We start from the raw sequence: 17,857 nt of genomic DNA, 5'->3' as shown, positions 1-17,857 counted from the left end.
CGAGATCATGCCCTTGCACTCCAGCCTGGGCAACAGAGAGAGACTCTGTCTCAGAAAAAAAAAAAAGAATAAACTCTTCCCCATGCTGCTCAGCCTCAGATTCTAGGAGGGGGTTTCAGAGTTGGCTTTGTTCCCCTGGAAAAGAACAACTCCATCTTCAAAGTGAGAATATTATTCCCTACACTGTCCTTTCCTCGTTTCTTCTCCCTGAAACTTATAAGAAATAAATCCAGCTGTCCATACATAGTCTCTCTTTCTAGAGGCAATCTATGGAAATCTTTAAATATCATTCTGTAATTATGCTGTTATGCAACTTGACTCTCAAATGTTTCGTGTAATGTATTTTGGACCCCTTTCTATGTCAGTGCATGCAAATCTGCTTCATTCCTTTATTTGTTTTGTGTATTTACTTGCTTCATTCCTTTTAATGGCTCTACAATATTGTACAAAATGAATATATCATTGCTTATTTAACCAAGTCCTTTTAATGGTGGACGTTGACATTGATCTGGTTTGTTACAAACAATGTTGCAATAGTCATGTACATTTGACTTCCTAGCTGTTGACATCTATTGCCAACTTGCCCACTGCTATGGTTCGGATATGGTGTGTTTGTCTTCACCAGAACTCATGTTGAAATTTGACCTCCAATGTGGCGTTGTTGGGAGGTGGGGCCTAGTGGGAGGTGTTTGGGTCATGGGGATGGATCCCCCACGAATGGCTTGGTGCTAGTAATGCAGTAATGAGTGGGCTCTGCTTGACTGGATTAATTCTCATGGGAATGGATTAGTTCCTTTGAGAGTGGGTTGTTATAAAGCCAGGACACCTTTGGGTTTTGCCTCTTTGCATGTGTCTGTTTCCCATTTGACCTTCTCTGCCATGATATGATGCAGCATAAAAACTCTTGCCAGAAGCTAGTGTTGTGCCCTTGAACGTCCCAGCCTGCAGAACCACAAGCTAAATAAACTTCTTTTCTTTGTAAATTTCCCAATCTCGGGTATTCTGTTAGAGTAGCACAAAACGGGCTAACACATCCACCCAAAAGGTTGTACCTGCTTTCACACTCCCAGCTATAGCATGTGACCATGAAGCCAAATCTCTTGAAACAAAAAGAAATCGCATTAGCCATGAGGATGATGATTAGCGTGCAAAGGAAGAATGAACCTCACTTTACAGGGAGCTTTCTTAGCTATTTTTTGTTTTACTTTCAGCCTCCTAGCAACCTTGCAGGGATGAGGAGAATGATGAGTGATATGGCTATTATAATCACTACTCATTTTGCAAATATTTGGTGTCAAGTCCATGCAGGATACCATGTAGAGGGTAGGCCAGGGTGCTAGAGACGGCCAACAGGAGAAGGCACCTCTCTGGGGGATTAGGTTCCTGCACATCCTCCTCCAGCCCAGCTCCAGTTTTTTGCTACCTTTAGAGCCAGACTCCTTGAAAGCATTATCTATACTCCTCTGTCTCGGATTCTTCTCTTTTCTCTTTTTTTCTTTCTTTCTTTCCTTCCTTTTTTTTTTTTTTTTTTTTCTGAAACAGTGTCTTTTTCTGTTGCCCGGGCTGGAGTACACTGGCACAATCATGGCTCACTGCAACCTTGACCTCCCACGTTCAAGCAGTCTCACTTCAGTCTCCCACGTAACTGGGACCACAGGTATGTGCCACCATGCCTGGCTAATTTATTTTTATTTTTTAGCCATAAGGTCTCACTGGAGACCTAAATAAATAGGGAGACCTTATCTCTAAAAAATAAAAATAAATTAGCCAGGCACAGTGGCACACATCTAATTATTTAGGTCTCCCTATTTAGAGGTAAGGTCTTGCCTGGCTAATTTATTTTTATTTTTTAGAGATAAGGTCTCCCTATGTTGCTCAGGCTGGTCTTAAACTCCTGGGCTGAAGTGATCCTTCTGCCTCAGCCTCTCAAAATGCTGGGATTACAGGCATGAGCCACTGTGCTTAGTCCCATTCTGTTAAACCTCCTCCAATCAGGCTTTTACTCCTGCCTCTCTCCCAAATAGCTCTCGTCAAGGTTGCTGTTGCCACATCTAACATGAAAAACCATCAGCATTTGCCATGGTCTACCACTCGCTGCTTGAAATGTTTTTCCAATTTGGGGTTGCTTCTCCTCCTGTATTTCCCCCTCATCACCTCCACTTCTCAAATTAGAGCACACCAAAGCTCTATTCTCAACCTCTTCTCTCTCTTTTTTTTTGAGCTGGATTTTCGCTCTTGTTGCCCAGGCTGGAGTACAATGGCACGATCTCAGCTCACTGCAACCTCCGCCTCCTGGATTCAAGCGATTCTCCTGCCGCAGCCTCCTGAGTAGCTGGGATTACAGGCATGTGCCACCACGCCCAGCTAATTTTGTATTTTTAGTACAGATGGGGTTTCTCCATGTTGGTTACGCTGGTCTGCAGTGGCCCAATTTCAAGCAAATGAGTATTTCGAGCAAACTGTGTCTCCTGGGTTCAAGCGATTCTCCTGTGTCAGCCTCCCGAGTAGCTGGGCTTACAGGCATGTGCCACCACACCTGGCTAATTTTTGTATCTTTAGTAGAAATGGGGTTTCACCGTGTTGGCCAGGCTGGTCTCAAACTCCTGTGCTCAAGCGATCCTCTCACCTCGGCCTCCCAAAGTGCTGGGATTACAGGCATGAGCCACTGCACCCAGGCTTCTTTTCTCTTTTCTAGCCACATTCACTTCTTGGGCAATCCATCCAGCCCCACGTCTTTAAATACCATCTGTATGCCCTTGACTTACACACGCCAGTCACCGTTCTAGACCTCCTCCAGGAACTCAATAATCCTAATCCACTTCACAACGCAACTTTACATCTGCTTCTTCCGGGAAGGCTTCTCAGATTAATCCACCCACTGCTCACCAGTTTTGTATTCTCCTTGTCCCCAGCATTTGCAGTTGCTGACAACGTTGAAGCTTCACTGGAAGCTTGACATCTTGCAAGAGTTTTCACAGATCAAATAGCACATATTGGGGAGCCTCTCAAAAATTGCGTTACCTTGGGCAAGTTAGTTGACTTCTCTGAGCCCATATCTGTGAAATGGAAGTAGAAATAAACTCCTACTTCTTAGGGTTTCTGTGGCACCCAAAGGAGACATGGTCTATGAAACACCAGTGCCCAGTACACAGTAAGTGTCCACTACATATTAGTATTTATTACTATATATTTTTTTTGAGGCAGAGTCTCACTGTGTCGCCCAGGCTGGAGTACAGTAGTGTGATCTCCCCTTACTGCAGCCTCCGCCTCCTGGGCTCAAGTGATCCTCCCACCTCAGCCTCCCAAGTAGCTGGGACTACAGGCACATGCCACCATACCTGGAAAATTTTTGCATTTTTGGTACATATGAGGTCTTGCTATGTTGTCTGGTCTGGTCTTAAGCCCCTGGGCTCAAGGGATTCACCCGCCTCAGCCTCCCAAAATGCTGGGATTACAGGTGAGAGCCACTGCACCTGGCCAATTTATTACTATTATTATCTGGAAATGACCTGGCAAGGTAGACGTTTTGATCTCCATCTTACTATGACGAGCCCAAAGCGCACAAGACTAGAACAATTTGTGCAGCTCACAGTAGCCAGCAGGAAATCAAGCCACATTTCCTCCCTTTCTGTTTTACTTCCCCACATCTTTTAGAGATTCCTTTTCTAATATTCCACTTTACAGCCAATGGCATTGATCTTACATGTGAATTTTGAATCATTCTCCGATTTCTGGTTTCACCCCACAACAATGACAATACTCTGCTTCCCAGGCCTTTGTGACTTTTGCAAGCATGCTCATGTAGGATTTCACACTTGAATCACCCAGTAATCCTGCAATATGGGGAAGGCACATCCCACAACGTGGGCAGGCACATCCTCATTTTGCAGACAGGAAAACTGAGAATCAGAGTGGCAAAGTCACTTGTTCATGATCTCACAGCACAAAATGGCAAAAACCATTGTTAGAATTCAAGGGCTAAGCCAGGGTTCACCTTCCAGCCTACCACAAACTCATATGCCTTCTCTTTCCCCCTCTCTCCTACCACCAAAAGATTCTGCATTCAGCAGACACTCAATGAATGCTTATAGGGAGCTGCCCCCTCCAGAGAGGGTAACAGTGTGCACCATGATCATCTGCAGACCCCAAGGAAGACCCAAGAAAGGCGAGTGGGTTGAGCGGCTGCCTTAGGCTGACCCAGCTCCCGAAATTGTGTCCCCAGCTCAAGGATCACCTAGGGGATCATTCTAAGTATTCAAAGTACTTGGGTAGAAAGTATTTCAAAAACAAGTTGGTTGTTTATTCATGGAACTTCCTCCCAAGACAGAGAAACCACAGGGGTAAGTTCTCTTTTCCAAGTAAGTACATTAATCTGCTTCTCCAAATTTGAACTGTGCAGGGGACAGATTCCCCGAACTCCTGCAAAGCCAGATTCCGCCCATGCGGGAACCAACTTCAACCAATGTCCACCATTCTTCAATCAACGAACGTGTTGCTAAGAGCCTACAAACTGCCATTCTCTGTGTGTGTGTGTGTGTGTGAGTGGTGGGGTGGGAGGGTGGACAAGAGTGGTTGGCATGCAAAATGAAGTATTTTTATTTATTTATTTATTCGGAACAGGGCCTCACTCTGTCAACTAGGCTGGAGTGCAGTGGCATGATTATAGCTCACCACAGTCTTGAACTCCTGGGCTCGATCGATCCTGCCGCTTCCTGAGTAGCTGGGACTACAGGCATGTACCACCACACCCAGCTAATTTTTAAAAAAATTTTCGTAGAGATAGGGTCTTGCTATGTTGCCCAGGCTCAACATGAATTATTCTTAATGTGAAGGGAAATGTCTTCACAGAAGGTGTTAGGGGCTGAATTGAGTCCCCCACCCCTATTCATATGGTGAAGTCCTAAAACCTAGCGCCTCAGAATGTGACTGTAATTGGAGACCAACTCTTCAACAAGGACATCGGGTTAAAATGAAGTCATTAGGGGCCAGGCGCGGTAGCTCATGCCTGTTATCCCAGCACTTTGGGAGGCCGACGCAGGCAGATCATGAGGTCAAGAGACAGAGTCCATCCTGGCCACATGGTAAAACCCCGTTTCTACTAAAAATACAAAAATTAGCCGGGTGTGGTGGCAGGCGTCTGTAGTCCCAGCTACTCGGGAGGCTGAGGCAGGAGAATCTCTTCAATCGGGGAGGCGGAGGTTGCGGTGAGGTGAGATCACGCCACTGTACTTCAGCGTGGGCAACAGAGTGAGACTCTGTCTCAAAAGAAGTAAAATAAAGATGGAGGTCATGCTATGTTGCCCAGGCTAGTCTTGAACTCCTGGCCTCAAGTGATCCTCCCGCTTCAGCCTTCCAAACTCTTGGATTACAGGCATGAGCCGCTGCGCCCAGCCAGAAAATAAACCTTTTTATTGCCGAAGCCACCCAGTCCATGGTTCTTTAATATGGCAGGCTGAGCAGACTGATGCAAAGGGAACGTCCTTTTACATCACGGATTGTGTCCATTGTTGGACACAATTTCCACTCCTCCTTATCGCCTTGCACATGCCTGCTTTACTCATCAACATTGCCTCAATTCTCTTGACGGTGTGTGAGTTTATACCTACTAAAAGGCTACTTGTGGAAAGGCTAAGAACTAATTTCCATCTTCCACCCCACCTGACTGCCAAACCTGTTATCATCAGGGTGCCTTCCCATCCATTCATTGGAACAAGATATTGAAAGAACCACCATTCATCTACCGCTCCGTATTCTTCCGTTCCAGGAAAATTTCTGGCTTTATTTCTTTGATGCCTTCTTCTCTTCTGCCTTCTCACTTCTCTTTTTAGAGAATCCCTAAACTCTTTTAGTCAGTTGTCTGGATACTCATTCATAGAGGCCTCACCTGTCTTCCGTACCGACCCAGCCTTCTGTTGCCCTGTATAGAAAGCAGAATGATGGGAAAAGATGGAGGCAGGTAGAATGCAGTGAGTTAAATTGTGTCCCTAAAAAATATATGTCCGTGGCCAGGTACAGTGGCTCATGCCTGTAATCCCAGCACTTTGGGAGGCTGAGGGGGCAGATCACTTGAGGTTAGGAGTTCCAGACCAGCCTGGCCAACATGGTGAAACCCCGTCTCTACTAAAATACAAAATTACAAAATGCAAAAATACTGAAATACAAAAGTACAAAAATTAACTGGACACGGTAGTGCAAGCCTGTAATCCCAGCTACTGAGGCTGAGGCAGAAGAATCGCTTGAACCTGGGAGGCAGAGGTTGCAGTAAGCTGAGATGGCACCACTGCACTCCAGCCTGGAAGACAGAGCGAGACTCCATCTCCAAAAAAGGAAAGAACAAAAGAAAAGAAAAGAAAAGAAAGGAAAGGAAAGGAAAGGAAAGAAAAGAAAAGAAAAGAAAAGAAAAGAAAAGAAAAGAAAAGAAAAGAAAAAATGTCCGTGGCCAGGTACAGTGGCTCACACCTGTAATCCCAGCACTTTGAAAGGCGGAGGTGGGAGGATGGCTTGAGCCCAGGAGTTCAAGACCCACCTGGGCAACATAAAGAGCCCTCATTTCTACCTTAAAAAAAAAAAATGTTCAAGTCCTAACTCTCCATACATGAGCAAACTTAATTCGAAATAGGATCTTTGCAGATTTCATTAAGAATCTCAAGATGAGATCATCCTTGATATAGGTTTGACACAGGTCAAAATCCAAAGACTTGTGTCCCTATAAAGAAAGTAGAGGGAGATTTGAGACACAGGAGAGAGAGGAGAAGGCCAGGTGAAGATGGAAGCAGGGACGCCCAGGGGTGGTGGCTCACACCTGCAGCCCCAGCACTTTGGGAGGCCGAGGTGAGAGGATGGCTTGAGTCCAGGAGTTCCATACCAGCCTGGGCAACACAGAGAGACCTTGTCTCTACAAAAAAAGTTCTAAAAATTAGCAGACATGGTGGTCTGCGTCTGTAGTCCCAGCTACTCTGGTGGCTGCGGATCACTTGAGCCTGAGAGGTGGAGGCTGCAGTGGGCTATGATCATGCCACTACACTTCAGCATGGGTGACAGAGAGACCCTGTTTCAAAAAAAATAACAAGTCTCCAGCATTTTATTTTGGGGAAATTGGGTTTGGTTCATGCTGGTCCCTCTTCCCTGTTGCAATGGTTTTACTGAATGAAATCTTCTTCAGTGCATTAGCTAGTGGTGGGCTCTGTTTATCTTTGATGGGCAGAGCCAGAGGTATAAAAACAGTGTGCTCATTCTCCTCCACCTTCCAATCTCCTGTCTGGGCCCCGCATTGGCCAATGGGAGCCTGTGGGTGGTGGGCACCACAGCTGCCTGCTGATTGGGGCTCTTATGGTCAGCATCTGTGCAGACGGCAGGTGGGGAAGGGAAGAGAAGGGAGGGGAATCCCTCTGGAGGCAACAGAAGCTAGCCAGCACACCCTGCTTCCTGGGCGCTTCTCGTGGCATCAGCAACAGTCTTATCATGACTGTCCCTTAAAACATTCCAAGGCTGGGTGCGATGGCTGATGCCTATAATCCCAGCACTTTAGGAGGCTGAGGTGCGTGGATCACTTGAGCCCAGGAGTTTGAGACCACCCTGGGAAACTTGGCAAAATCCCATCTCTACAAAAAATACAAAAATTAGCCGGATGTGGTGGTGTACACCGTAGTCCCAGCTACTCGCGGGACTGAGAAGTGGAAGGATCGCTTGAGCCCAGGAGGTCAAGGCTGCAGTGAGCCAAGATTGCACCACTGCACTCCAGCCTGGGTGACACAGCAAGACCCTGTGTCCAAATTAAAAAAAAAAATTCGAAAATGTCTCACTTCTTCTGGGCAATGTGCTCTGAACTTCCAGCTTTGGTCTCAGGACACACCTAAGACACAGCGGCTCTCCAGGTGGGTTCTGATGTCAGATAAAGACATGCATGACCCTGCCTGTTGGGTCACACGGCTGGCAGGATGGCTCTGAAGGCCTCATGTGTGTCTGGCCTGTGCTTAAATCCCAGCCAAGGGAAGCAGCCGCCCAGTCCCAAGGCCTGGCTTTCGGTTTCAGGCTGCCTGTGGTCACACCAAACTCAAGGACTCTAGAAAATATTGTCCTGGTTCTGCAGCCTCTGGAAACCCCCTAAAACTCCCAGCAGGTGGGAAGGTGCAAGGGGCTGTGAGGAGGAAGCCTCAAAGGCCCCAGTCCCCACGCCTCGCTGGGGTGCCTCTCTCCTTCTAGGATCTGGGAGTAAGGTTTCTCTTCTGACATCCTCAGCCTGGCCCTCCTGCCAGCCTCCACCCCTCACCAGGAAAGGAGAATACTCATTTATTATATTTTATTTATTTATTTATTATATTTATATATTTATTATATTATTTATTTTTACAGACAGCATCTCACTTTGTCACCCAGGCTGGAGTGTAGTGACATAATCACAGCTCACTATAGCCTCGAACTCCTGGGCTCAAATGAGCCTCCTGTCTCAGCCTCCCAAGTAGCTGGGACTATAGACATGCACCACCAAGCTCAGCTAATTTTTTAATTTTTTTTAGAGACGAGGTCTCACTCTGTTGCCCAGGCTGGTTTCAAACTCATGGGCTCAAGCAATCTTCCCACTTTGGCCTCTCAACATGCTGGGATTACAGGTGTGAGGCACCATGCCTAAACTGGAGAATATTTAAAATCCAGAAAGGAAACAAAAACTGTGCTATTAGGAGGCAGGACAATGGTTCCTCTGGCAGGGGAGTGGCTGGAAGCGACTGACCCCCACAGGGGCTTCTGGGGGCTGCAAACATCCTGTTTCTTGGTCTGGATGCTGGATCTCCGGGAGTGTTCAGTTTCTGAAAATGCATTAAGTTGTACATTTATGATTTTGCACTTTATATATGTTATGCTATTGTTTAAAAAATATATATATTTTTTGATAGAGTGAAGCTTTGGAAAATAGCCTGCCAGTTTCTCAAAAGTTACAAAGGGAGCTGGGCATGGTGACTTACACCTGTAATCTCAATGCTTTGGGAGGCTGAGGCAGGAGGATCACTTGAGACCAGGAGTTGGAGATCAGCCTGGGCAACATAATGAGACCCCCATCTCTACAAATATAAAATTAGCTGAGCATGGTAGCGCACTCCTGCAGTCCCAGCTACTCAGGAGGCTGAGGCAGGAGCCCAGGAGTTGGAGGCTGCAGTGAGCTGTGATCCCACCGCTGTACTCTAGCCTGGGCCACAAAGTGAGACCCTCTCTCTCTAAAAAGAAAAAGTAAAAAAGAAAGGTGTTCTAAAATTGACTGTGGTGAAGCTTGGACAACTTTGTTTGTATACTAAAAGCCAATGGCTGGGCACAGTGGCTCACACCTGTAATCCCAGCACTTTGGGAGGCTGAGGTGAAATGATGACTTGAGCCCAGGAGTTCGAGACCAGTCTGGGCAACACAGGGAGACCTCATCGCTATAAACAAATTCGAAAAGTTAGCAGACATGGTGGTCCAGCTACTCGGAGGCGAGGTGGGAGAACTGCTTGAACCCAGGAGGCGGAGGTCGTGCTGCTGCACTCCAGCCTGGGTGATAGAGTGAGACTGTCTCCAAAAAAAGAAAGAAAAGAAAAAAAGCCATTGAATTGTACACTCTTAATGGATGAGTTGTATGGTATGGGAATTATACCTCAATAAAACTGTTATAAGAAATTCAGCAGGGCATAGAAAGGAAACATAGTGAGTTTTTGGCCAACGTCAGCACCATCACCTCAGATTATTCCACCACATCGTCTGCTACATACTTGACTAGCCTGGACTCCAGTAGACTGAGCCCTGAGGTGCAGTCGTGGCAGAGAGCAAGGGGGACGAGGCAGACGACGAGAAAAGCGAACTGATCCTTGAAGGGCGGCCTGTGGAAACCGACAGCGGGAACGAGTTTCCCATTTTCCCCACAGCTTTGACTTCGGAGAGGCTTTTCCGAGGAAAACTGCAAAAAGTGACTAAGAGCAGCCGGAGAAATTCTGAATGAAGTGAAGTAAGTTGCACCGAGGGAAGTTTAACATCAAGTTTAGATAGCCGGAGACAGCTCTTCAGTTCCCATAAACTCATCACATGTGATATTCTCTCCAGGAAAAAATCAGCGAGATTCAAGTCAGACAGTGGAAGTCTAGGAGATGCCAAGAACGAGAAAGAAACACCTTCATTAACTAAAGTGTTTGATGTTATGAAAAAAGGAAAGTCAACTGTGAGTTTACTGACACCCACCAGAGGTGGATCCGAAAAACAGGAATCCACATGGAAAACGAAAAAAGCAGATCAGCTAAAACTGAGACCCAGAGCCCCTGCGGATGACGTGTTTGGAGTAGGGAATCACAAAGCGAATGCCGCGACTGCTAAAAGGAAAAGCACCCGGCGCAGACATACGCTAGGAGGGCACAGAGATGCTACTGAAATCAGCGTTTGGAATTTTTGGAAAGCGCATGAGCGGAGTTGGGAGAGAGAATCTGAACTTTCAGCTGTAAGCCGGTTAAAACCAAAATGCTCAGCCCAGGACGTTTCCATCTCAGACTGGCTGGCCAGGAATTGCCTACACACTAGTACCTCTGACCTTAGCAGCGGAGAAAGCGGAGATCCCCAGGCAGAGAACCCAAGGACACGAGAAATAGCCACGACCGACACACCTTTGGCTTGTCAGTACGACACAGGCAGTTCTTCCAGCACCTTGGCTTCAACAAACAGGCCCCTTCTTTCCATACCACCGCAGTCACCTGACCAAATAAACGGAGAAAGCTTCCAGAACGTGAGCAAAAATGCTAGTTCTGCAGCGAATGCCCAACCTCATAAACTGTCTGAAACCTCAGGCAATAAATCACAATTTCATCCCTGTCTTTAAACTGGGGGTATGTCTACTCTAGCAAGTAAAAAGCTACTGTTACACATTCCAGCAACTCTGTCAATATTTTCTTGTACCAGAATTGTTATTATGCAGCCTTCATTTGGGCTGGTTTCATCATTTTGCACTGTAAAATAGCTTTACAGTGCATTGCTACAGCCAGAAGAACATATATATATATATTTAAAAATATATCGGATAGTCATATACAAATGAGCGAGGCATTTGTTGCAACTTACTACATAGCATATACCCCAAGTCACTGAAGAAAATCGCCGGCATTAGTGTGCAGCAAATTTGTTCTTTTGGTTTCATCACAAACAGAAGTGCCTCATCATAAAAATACATTTGGTTTTCAAGGTGCCCTATTGTTAAAATTAGATAACTTACGTTGAATAAATGAATGTGTTTTATCGGTAACAAATTTCATTACATTTACCAGTTTTAACACAGGTGGATACAGAACTTCAATTCTTTAGTCATTCCAGGTGGATCTGAGTTTTATATTCAAACTTTTGATACAGTTTTTGAGTTTTGCGTGACTTGAATTTTTAATCTTTCTGCAAAATACATAACTTAAATGAACATATTAAATGTGTATCTTTTCTGCAGATACCAGATTTGATAGAAATGTTGTAACATAGGTGTGTAGATAGTGGATCCTGGATGGAACGGGCTTCTTTATCAAGAAGAATATAATTCTGCATAAGGACTTAATGAATCCAAACCTGTGTCAAGCCTGTGTGCATACCCAATTAAACACGAAATAAAAATCATTTTGGTGAAAAAAAAACAAAAAAAAAAAAAAAGAAAGAAAGAAATTCAGCAGGGCATTAGCATTAGAAAGAATACCAGACCAAGCCGAATGAATGCCGGACAGATGGCCCCACCCACAGGGCTGCACCGTTGCCTACCAGCTGGGCTCCAGCCACCGGACAAACATAGACAGTCTGTTGGCTTCCCAGGCTCAGGAATACTCCAGATCATAACCTGGTGCAGAGAATCTTGAAGGCAGGAAGTACAGGCAAGATACAATGCAATCCTTGGGTTCCCTAGAAACAGATCCTGAGATAAGGATGCGGGTGGGAATAGTTTATTTGGGGAGGGATCCAGGAAGGAAACGAAGTCAGAATAGGTGATGAGCAACTGAGGCTCAATTCCACTTTGGGGCGAGGGAGATGGGGCATTTACCCTCCACCCAGACCATCACTACGGGGGGCTGCTCCTGGGGCATTCACTGCCTCCTTCTCACCCTGGCCCCGGTGGATGGAGCCCACAGGTGCAGAGCCACAGCTTGCCTGGGACATTGGGCATGTGCTGGATTTTCGAGTGCCAAGGAATTGGGCAGGGCAGCTCCAAATCCACCTTGCCTGAGCAGCTCTCAGGTGCTGTGAAACCCTGGGTAAGTCCTGGCCCCCACAGGCCTCAGTTTTCCCTATCTGGAAAGTGAAGGTGATGAGAGCAGTGTTCTCAATGGGGCATTTGGCCATGTCTGGAGACATTCTGCATTGTTACAACAGGGAGGGAAGGTGTGTCTGGTATCTAGTGGGTGGAGACCACAGATGCTGAATCCTACAGTGCACAGGACAGAATTTCACAACATAGAGTTATCCAACCCAAAATGTCAGCAGTGCCTCAGCTGAGAAACCTGGGCTAGGATCCACCCACCGCAGCCTCCCAAAGTGCTGGGATTACAGGTGTGAGATACCGCGCTCGGCCGAGAAATTCTAAGAATGATTTTCAACTTGAACATGCCAAGCTCTGAGTATATCCCAGGGAAGGCTTATGCCAACCTCATGCCAGTCAGGGGCCACTGCTCCTGTACCACTGAGGGCCCCAGGCTGCCCCTCAGAAGCAGACGAGCCTGGGCTCCCTGGCTCCAAATCTGCTGTAAGCCTCTCCTGGTTCTCCTGTACAATACTGGGATACCCCTCATGAGCTCTGGGACCAGAAGCCAGGACCATCCTAAAGGCCTGGAGACGGCCCTATAAGTCCTCAGTCCTCAACCCAAACCCTCAGATTTTTAAAAATAGATTCTACTTTTTAGAGCAGTTTTAGGTTCACAGCAAAACTGAACAGAAGATAGAGGTTTCCCTTGTCCGCCCTCCCCCAAAACAGGCACAGCTTGTCCCATTCTCAACATCCCTCTCCAGAGTGGAACATTTGTTACAACTGATGAATCTATATTGACACATCATCACCCCAAGTCCATGGTTTACATTAGGGTGGATGAATGTGCTCGAGGTACATTCTGTGAGGCTGGGCCAATGGGTAATGACATGAATCCACCATTACTGTGCCATACAGAGTTTGCCCTGCTCTAAAAATCCCCTGTGCTCCACCCGTTTATTCCTGTCTCCCCTCAACCCCTGGCAACCACTGATCTTTTTGCTGTCTCCATAGATTTTCCAGAATGTCATAGAGTTGGAATCATACAGAGAATAGCCTTTTCAGATTGGCTTCTTTCACTTACTAACATGCATGTAAGTTTCCTCCATGTATTTTTGTGGCTTGATAGCTCATTTCTTTTTAGCAGTGAATAATATTCCATTGTCTGGATGTACCTCGGTTTTTATCCATTCACCTGCCGAGGGACATCTTGGTTGCTTCCAAGTTCCGACAATCATGCATAAAGCTGCTATAAACATCCATGTGTAGTTTTTTGTGTAGACATGAGTTTCTAGCTCATGTGGGTAAATGCCAATGGGCCTGATTCCTGGGTTGCATGGTAGGAGTATGTTTATTTTGTTAAAAACTGCCAAGCTGTCTTCCAGAGTGGCTTCACCATTATTGCATCCCCACCAACAGTGAATGAGAATTCCTGTTGCTCCAAAGGGGGGAGGTACTACGCACTTTTAAACAAACAGATCTTGCAATAACTCACTCACTCACTATCAGAAGGACAGCACGCAGGGGATGCTGTTCATGAGCACCCATTCACGAGAAACTGCCCCCCTGATCCAATCACCTCCCACCAAGCCCCACCTCCAACATTGGGGATTACAGTTCAACATGAAATTTGGGTGGGACACAAATCCAAATCATATCACAGCTGGACTTAAGTCCTAGCTCTGCCACTTACCAGTGGGACCTTGGTCAAGTTGCTTAATCTCTCTGGGCCCTGGGAGAAGCAGCACAGTGCAAAGTAGCACTTGTGTTTTGGAGTGTCTGCCCATGTAGCTCTTACACTGGGGCACCTATGGAAACTGCCATTTTTTATGCTTAGTATCTTAATACTGAAGTCCCTTTGTCTTGGTCCATTTCATGTTGCTATAAAGGAATAACTGATGCTGGGTAATTTACAAAGAAAAGAGGTTTATTTGGCTCATGATTCTGCTGGCTGGAAGTTCAAGACTGGGCATCCAGTGAGGGCCTCAGACTGCTTCCACTTGTGGTGGGAGGTGAAGAGAAGTCCACGTGTGCAGAGATCACATGGACAGAGAAGAAGCAAGAGTAGGGGCAGGTGCCAGGCTCTTTTTAACAACCAGCTCTCTTGGAAACTAATAGAACAAGAACTCACCCCATGGGAGGGAGAGATCCATCCCCATGCCCCATGCCCTAAACACCTCCCATTTGGCCCCACCTCCAACATTGGGGATCAAATTTCAACATGAGGTTTGTAGGGAACAAATATCCAAGCCATAGCACCCTTTTCCCACTGGCAGTCCTGAGAGCCTCTCTTCATGCTTAGTTTCTACTCCTCTGTACCCTGGGTAAGTGCTTATCTCTTTAGGGGGCTTCCCCATGCATGAGTCATGGAGCCAGTGTCTTAAGCCAAAAGATCTCAAACACGACACCACAGTGGACAAATATCCATCTACCCATTTTTTGCATGATTCAAAATAAGGTAAGATATAGGTATGGCTGCTGTGACAAAGGCCAGGCAGAGACAAATGTATTTCTTTCTTGGGTAACAGTCCAAGTATCAACTATTCAGAACAGATAAGGGGGCTCTATAGGGCAGGGTCTCAGCTTCCCTCTCTTTCTTGGTTTCCCAATCTTTATTCATGGCTCCCACCTCATGATTCAACATGGCTGCTCCAGCTCCTACCATCACAACTGCATTCTATCAGAGGGAAAATATAATCCCAAAGTGGCACAACTTACTTTATTAGCTTTACTTTACATTACCATACTCCTTGCAGGGGAGGCCAAGAAGGGTGATCTTTAGCTGATAGGACCATGAGCCAGCCAAAAATCCTCATCTGATGTAAGAAGATATTAGGGTCAGCTGGTAGTTTTGCCCTACATAACAGAACAGATAAAAGTTTAATTTTATTCATGTGGTTGGATGAATACTCAGACCAAGGGGTGTGAGGAAAAGGCCCCCAAATCCCCAACAGAGTAATGGGCAAGAGGCTGGAGTGAGACAGAAGCCTGTTTGGAAAAGCTGTCAATGTTTTCTTTTGTTCAGTCAACAAACAGGCATTGAGCATCTCCACTGTGTCTGACACTATAGCAGACACTGGGTGTGTGCAGTGAGGAAAGTGGGTGAAAAAGCTAGGTCGTTCCCAGCTGACATGGTGATCAATTTCTTGCATGCCTTTAGTATCGTGCCTCTGTTTACTGAGCACCTAATATGTGCCAGGCCTGGGTAGGGGATAATGAAGCGGAAACAAATCCAGCCTGACCCCAAAAGACTCTCACAATGAATAGGCACTGCCCACAAGCCACATGGGAAAGCCCAGCTCCCTCTGTTAGAATCACACCTGCCTAGGTTGGGGTGGGGGTGAGGAAAGGAGGAAGGATGGCCTGATCTTCATCAGCATCAGTTGCCTGAGCCGTGGTTCCAATCTCACCCCATGCTGTCCGTCTGTGGCCCTTTCCCCTCCTCTGATGTTCAAGGTCTAGAGCAGGATTCATGGCCCTCTCCACAAGGCAGTGGGGATCTCAAGAGACTTGGACCTCTAGAAGTGGCCAGGGCAGCGGTGTGGCTGGCTGGTCTGTTATCCAGGTGGCATGGGGAACACGTAGAGTGACCCACTCATCCTGGTTTGCTTGGACTATCTCAGTTTTAGCACTGCAGAGCCTGCCTCCTGAGAATCCCCTTGGTCTGGGGAAACTAGGAGAGTTGGCCACCCTAGAACCTTGGATTCTGTCTGGGTCCTCCCCTACTCCCCAAATTCTAAACCAGTGGTTCTCCACCCTGGCTGCACATTGGCACCTCCTGGGCAGTTTTTTAAGAACGCTGCTGCCTGGGTCCCCCTGCCAGACGAATTCATTCAGAGTTCAGGGTTGAGGCTGGGTGTAGATCTTATAAAAACAAAAACAAAAACAAAAAAATCTCCCAGGGACCAGGGTGTGAGCCCCTCCTTGGGGATGGGGCTGAGTCAGGAGATGGTTGAAGGTAGATTTTTGTTTTCTAGCTCCAGTGAGAGCTGAGGAAGAGGGGAGAAGGAGCACTGGATTGGGGTTCATTGACTTATTCCATCACCCACTCATTCATTCATTCATTCATTCATTCATTCATCAATTATGTACAGGGGACCTGCTATCAGTCAGGAGCTGTCCTGGGGCTGGGGACATGGACTGGGGGAAGAGGGTGATCATGAACCTGTTTTCAAGAAGCTTACATTCGAGTTGGGGAAACACATAGTCAACAAGCAAGTCACCTGGATACTTCCAGATGAAGATGGGAAGGAACTTGATGGAGTGATGTGTTGGATGATTGGGGGTACATCAGCTCCTGAAAGTCAATGGTTGGGTGCAGCATCTGGGGGCTTCACCACTCCAGACCTTTGGCCTTGACTGTTGGGTCTTGAGGCTTCTAGAAGACAGAGACAGCCCCCAGGCAGAGTCCCAGGTGTTTGCCAGAGAGTGAGTGTCATAAGGTCCTAGTGTGGCACCAACCGTGGCTCCTCCAGAAAGTGACCTCTGAGCTGCCACCTGAAGGACATGGAAGAGCTGGCCGTGTGATGAGCATGCCAGGGCATGTGGAGGGCATGCCAGGCAAGGGTGATGGCGAGGGCATAGTCCCCAAAGCGTGTGGAGAGTGTTCCAGGTAAGGGAGATGGCAAGGGCATAGTCACCAAGGCGTGTGGAGGGTGTGCCAGGCAAGGGAGACGGCGAGGGCATAGTCCCCAAGTCAACTTTGGTGCATTCCAAGAGCAGCTACCAAGGACGGTGGGTGGTGTGGCCCGGGCTGGAGAGGAAGATAGAGTGGCAGGGGCTGAGAGTGGGGGAGAAGTCGCCAGGGCCAGGCCACGTGGCACTGAGATTCAACTGTGTAGGCAGGGAAGCCTCAAGAAAGTTTTGAGCAGGCGTCTACGGGATCCAGTTACTGCTGGGCAACAAGCTCACTTTGCATGTGGTCTGGAGGTGGGATTGTAGGGAAGGGCACAAGATGAAAGAGGAGAGATGGTCTCACCCCCCTGGGTGGCCTTGGCCAGTCCCTTTTCTTCTCTGAGATTCAGCCACTTATCTGGAAAATGAGGCCAAGAAGTCCCACCCCATATGCTTCAGAGGGGCATTTCAGCTGTGCACAGTGGCTCATGCCTATAGTCTCAGCATTTTGGGAGGCCAAGGTGGGAGGATCACTTGAGTCCAGGAGTTTGAGACCAGCCTGGGCAGCATAGCAAGACCCTGTTTCTAAAAAAAAAAAACAAAAAAAAAACTTTTTAATTAGCTGGGCTTGGTGGCATGCACCTGTGTTGTCCCAGCCACTCGGGAGGCTAAGGCAGGAGGATGGCATGAGCCCAGGAGGTCGAGGCTGCAGTGAGCTGTGATTGTGCCACTGCACTCCAGCCTGGATAACAGAGTGAGGCTCTGTCTCTAAAAAAATAAAAAATAAAAGAAGGGTGTTTGGTGACTCCCATGAGCGGAAGTCCCCTGGCTACAGTTGGATGAAAGTCTCCTGGCTGTGGCAGAACACAGGGAGGGGCCTTGACACCACCCTTTGGGTAGAAGTGGCCATGCCTGGACCCACCAAATGCAGACTGGGGCCTTTCTCAAGTTCTCTGCTTTGTGGTTGGGTTTTTCCAAGTGAACTGAGCTAAAATTATGAATGGTGAATGCAGCGTCTCGGAGGTA

General features: G+C 47.1%; 1 pseudogene, besides 3 other annotated features; it reads left to right on the top strand.

Annotated features, from left to right (window-relative positions):
- Positions 7,951–8,180: an enhancer, noted in NCBI's record as "active region_10391". NCBI's record gives its function as "activates an Ori minimal core promoter by ATAC-STARR-seq in GM12878 lymphoblastoid cells {active_cell/tissue: GM12878}" and the evidence as "EXISTENCE:reporter gene assay evidence [ECO:0000049][PMID:35858748]".
- On the top strand, positions 9,659–11,614 carry LOC729945 (Rho GTPase activating protein 21 pseudogene; annotated as a pseudogene).
- Positions 12,113–12,632: an enhancer, noted in NCBI's record as "H3K4me1 hESC enhancer chr16:10932437-10932956 (GRCh37/hg19 assembly coordinates)". NCBI's record gives its function as "activates a minimal SCP1, AML or CMV promoter by ChIP-STARR-seq in primed H9 embryonic stem cells {active_cell/tissue: H9 hESC(primed)}" and the evidence as "EXISTENCE:reporter gene assay evidence [ECO:0000049][PMID:30033119]".
- Positions 16,882–17,011: an enhancer, noted in NCBI's record as "active region_10390". NCBI's record gives its function as "activates an Ori minimal core promoter by ATAC-STARR-seq in GM12878 lymphoblastoid cells {active_cell/tissue: GM12878}" and the evidence as "EXISTENCE:reporter gene assay evidence [ECO:0000049][PMID:35858748]".

Source organism: Homo sapiens, chromosome 16 (assembly GCF_000001405.40).
Source record: "Homo sapiens chromosome 16, GRCh38.p14 Primary Assembly".
Taxonomy (NCBI): domain Eukaryota; kingdom Metazoa; phylum Chordata; class Mammalia; order Primates; family Hominidae; genus Homo; species Homo sapiens.
Note: the sequence above shows the minus strand (reverse complement) of the source record. Positions and strands in the feature narration are given on the sequence as shown.